The sequence below is a fragment of the Homo sapiens genome, chromosome 7 (genome assembly GCF_000001405.40).
Source record: "Homo sapiens chromosome 7, GRCh38.p14 Primary Assembly".
Classification (NCBI taxonomy): domain Eukaryota; kingdom Metazoa; phylum Chordata; class Mammalia; order Primates; family Hominidae; genus Homo; species Homo sapiens.
The window spans coordinates 95,324,656-95,329,604 of NC_000007.14; positions in this window are offsets into that span (position 1 = coordinate 95,324,656).

Here is a 4,949-nt window from a genome sequence, read left to right on the forward strand (position 1 = left end):
ACCGCAGGAGCTCAGCACTTTCAGCCAAAAGTCCCATTTTGCTCCTTCCAACTGTAAAGAGAGAAGACAGAGAATAGGTGCCTAGTCCAGTCGGGGAGGGGAAATCAAACAAGCTGAAGTAAATTGCCATGGGAAAGGACAGTCAAGCTTTGGTGAGCACTCACTTTGTGCCATCCCGGTCCTTGCGTCTCAGAGAGATTCAGTAGCTTGATCATGGTGACAGCCAAAAAGGTGCGGAAGGGAGGGCTGTAGTAGGAACCCCTAAGATCTAACTGTTCTCACCAGGCTACTACTCTGTGTCACCTTCCAACATCTGGATTTCAAGCATTTTTCTCTCAACACCACTCTGACTTTAGAGTTCACTCAAGTACATCCCCCACACAGCTCATTCATTTCCTCATGCAGCTGGCATTTATTGAGTACCTACTATGTGCCAGGCGCTGTTCTAGATGCTACAGAACAGGACAAAACGTCTTCCTCAAGCTTACGTTCATTCCAATGGGGGGAGTCAATTGAGAAATCAGCAAAACATGTCACTGTGGCATATATAATGCTCTAGGTGATGCATGTGTGTGTTATGGATATGCACATATGTTATGGAGAAAACACATAAAGCAAGAAAGGGGATAAGGAATACCCTCTGCTGAAGAATAGCAGTCAGAGAAGTTCTCACTGATAATGGGGCATTTGAGTAAAGACCCAAAGGAGGTGCCTCTGTACAACCATGTCTCTCTTCTCTGCTGTCTGCTGTTACTGTGAATGATTTGCTCCATGTCTCTTTCCTTCTCAAGGCTTTTGGTCCCAGTTATACCTTCTCTCTTCTGCAATATCTGTCCTTTCATCTCTTGTGGAATATTGCCAGCCAATACCAACATGCTTTACTTATCACCTTTAGCTTTCTGGGGGGAAGCTTCTTTGGCCTCACATTGTAACTACTGCCCTCTCTCTCTGCTCCTTCTGAACACTTGCTCTTAAGCCTTGAGCTACTATGTAAAAAACCTGACCACTCCACTGGAGCATTCACATGAAAGGCCATGAACATATGGAGAGGGAAAGTGGTCAGCTGAAGCCAACCTCTTAACCATCGGCACCAAGGAAGCAGAAATGAATGAAGTGGGCTATTAGACAAGCCCAGCCACCACAGCCTGGCCACCAACTGAATACCACTGGCTAAGCCACCCTGGTTAACACCAGGTGGAGCAGAAGAATCTACCTAAGAAGTAGAACCAATGAATCCAAAAGAGAAGAGTATTCGAAAAGAGGGGGAATGATGATCTGTGTCCAATGTGGCTATGAGTTGAGTATGCTTATGGCAGAGAAGTAACTACTGAATTAGATAACATGGATACAATAGGTGGTTTAATAAGAACAAATTCTACACGAGTCAAAAGAACACAAACCATATTAGAATGGGTTAAGGTGAGAATGGAAGATTGGAGATATTTCACAAGGTTAGCTGCTAAACCAAACAATCATTTTCTTATGCTCATAAACAGTGCATAAGGAATTTGGGCAGGGCCCAGCAGGCTACCTGGTTGACATGCCCACTGGGGTGTTTAACAGTCTTTTCAAAATGTGTCCAAAGGAAAACTCTTAATCCCCCCTGCCCAAACTCACACTTCAATAAATGGCATCACTACCATCCAGTTGCTCAAGTCCAAAATCTACATATCTTCTTTCATCCATCTCTTTTCCTCACACCCTCTTGCACCAAACAGATCAGTCAGTCCTATAGGCTCTATTTTGTATTAGTTATCGTATGCTGCATAACAAATTATACTAAAGTCTCACCATTAAAAACAACAAACATTTATTATCTCATCATTTCTGTGGGTCAGGAATTCAGGCATGGCACAGCTAGATACCTCTGGCTCAAGGTCTCTCATGAGTTAGCAGCTGAGCTGTCAGTGTGAATTGCCATCTTATCTGAAGGCTCAACTGGAGTGGGTGAAGGAGGTGAGATCAGCCTCCAAGATTACTCACACAGCTCTTTAGAGACTTCAGTCCCTTGATACTTCAGTCCCTTGATACGTGGGCCTCTCTACAGAACTACAACAGAACAAGGTAGCTGACTTTCACTAGAATGAGCAATCTGAAAGAGTGAGATAGCATGCCTCCAAAATGGATGCCACAATCTTTTATTAACCTAACTTCTGAAATGACATCCCCTAACTTCTGTCATATTCTGTTTGTTAGATGCAAACTGCTAACTCCAGTTTACATTCAAGGTGAGAAGAATTAAACTTCACCTTTTGAGGCTCCCCTTCATATGCCTTGAGGCATATTGATATGGTTTGGATGTTTGTCCCCTCCAAATCTCATGCTGAAATGTGATCCCCAATGGTGGAGGTGGGACAGGGTAGGAGGTGTTGGGTCATGGTGGCAGATCCCTCTGAATTGTCTTGGTGCCATCCTCATGGTAATGAGTGAGTTCTCTTGCTCTGAGTTCACGTGAGATTTGGTTGTTTAAAAGACTATAGCACCTCCCCCCACCCCCACTCCCTCTCTTGCCATGTGACATGCTAGTGATGCCCATCACCTTCCCCCATGATTTTAAGCTTCCTGAGGTCCTCACCAGAACCTGAGCAGATGTTGACACCATGCTTCCTGTACAGCCTACAGAACCATGAACCAATTAAAACTTTTTTTATATAAATTACCCAGCCTCAGGTGTTTATAGCAGTGCAAAAATGCCTAGCCCACATATCAAAGAATGTATAGATAGCTCTTTGAAACCACTACAACTTTCAAATAATCTTGAATCAACCCAATTTTCCCCATTTCCACTGCCATTACTCTGGTTCAGGCTGCTATCATCTCCAGGCTAGAACAGATTCTCCATTGTTCTCTCCCTAATCACCCTCCCCACAAATCCATTCTTCTTACCAAGGCCCACGTAATCCTTTAAAAATGTAAATCAGATTATATCATTTCCATGCTTAAAATCCTCCCTCTTGTGGCTTCTCATTTTATTTTCTTATTGTGGCCTGAAAGGCCCCACAAGATCTGGGCTGTGCTTATCATCTGACCTAATTTCTTATAATTCACTCAGCATAACGTTGCAGCAACATTAGCTTTTGTACCATTCGGTACACACACCAAGTTTATTGCACTTCACCATCATTGTCTTTGCTATTCTTTGGCTAGAATCCTCTTCCCATCCCCCTGACTTAACTTCCCAACTACCCCTTGCATTTCTCTTTCTCTTCATTCAGGTCATAGCTTAAATGTCACTTCTTCTGAGAGGCCTTTCCCAATATTACCATCTAGAGTAGACTTCCTCCACACCCTCTTCTCCTGAACCCTCTCTCTGCACCAGTTACTAAGACCTCAGTGCTGATATCAAATGGTTAGCACCAGTACAGAATTACTGGTTATTAGAATAATGACATATTTCTACAGTGGTTGTTAAATAACCACTTCCTCAGACCCTCCAAGAGGTCCTCCACAATACTGACCATTCTCTCTTCCCTGGAATCCTCCCTCACTTTACCATGATCTAGCAACCAAGGTATTATTTCCTGGCACAGTAGGGTCTCTAGGATTCTTCTCCCAAATAGTGTTTTGTTCAGCTGGGACTGAACTGACTGATTGAGGCTGTGCCATACCTGGTGTTAAGGACTCTATCACCACTGTCTTCACAGCACTCCATAGGAAATCATCTTCCTACTTAATGCCACCTGCCTTCCCCTACTAGCATGTAAACTTTTAGAGGTCACAGACCTTAACTTGCTAACTACCTTCTCTCTAACTCCTAGAACAGTTTCTGGCACATAGTAAATGCTCAAATATTTGTAAAGGGAAGGAAAGTACAAATGAATGGCAAGGGGTTGGGGATAAAGGAGGCAGGAGGAGCAGGGATTGAAAGATGGTTTGGGAGTAGACTAGAGATGCCACTCTCTCCTTTTCTGACCCAGTTGTCCTATGGGCCTTAAAGAACCCAAGTGGTCTTTCTTGCACAAAAATCCATGGTATTTGTTTGAAGTCACTGACTATTTGTTCTCTTTGTTCTCTTTTACCTCTTTTCACAACCAATCTTGTCCTCCTTCCTTCCCTTAACCTACTTATCTCTTTCAAATCCAAGAGCAAAGGTTTCCCATGTCAATGCACACTTTGAAATGGTCTGCTTTTTCTGGAGCTCTTGCTCTGGGCTTTTGTTTTCATTTGCTCTTTTGCCTGAAACACTGTCTTTCCATAAGCTTTTTATTCCCCATTTTAAAATACAAACGTCTTTATTGAGATATAATTTATATACAATAAACTGCACACATTTATAATATATAAATATAATTATATGTGTTTATAATTCAATATATGTCATTATATATAAATCAATAAGTTTTGGCATATATATTCACCCATGAAAACATCACAGGCATCAAGGTAATAAATATATCCTTTGCCTCCAAATTTCTTCATGCCTATTTGCAATCCCTCTCATACCTACGTCCACCCCACTTCCCTACAGATGTATTAGTTATCTACCATCATGTAACAAACAAGCCTGAAATGTGTCAGCTTATAACAACAAACACTTATCACCTCTCACTTTCTGTGGGCCAGGAGTATGACTACAACTTACCTGGTGCCTCTGCCTCAGGGTCTTTCCCAAGGTCGTAGCCCAGGCATTGGCCAGGACTGTGATCTCATTTTAACAAGCCAGATGGAAGTCACCATCTCTTTGTAACCTAATTTTCAAAGTGACATATCATTTTTTCCATGTTGTATTCATTCTGTTCTCTCAAGGTGAAGGAATTACACGAGGGTATGAATACTAGTCCCCATTCTTAACATGATCAAATCCTACCTGCTCCTTCAGGCACCTGTTTGCAATTTATTTCTACTAGTTTTTCCTGATGTCTAAATCTTGGATACCATTCTCATATGTCTCATTGCACCATGCTGCTTCTTTATTATTCCTGCCACTCTGTATTGTTAATACTTTATCA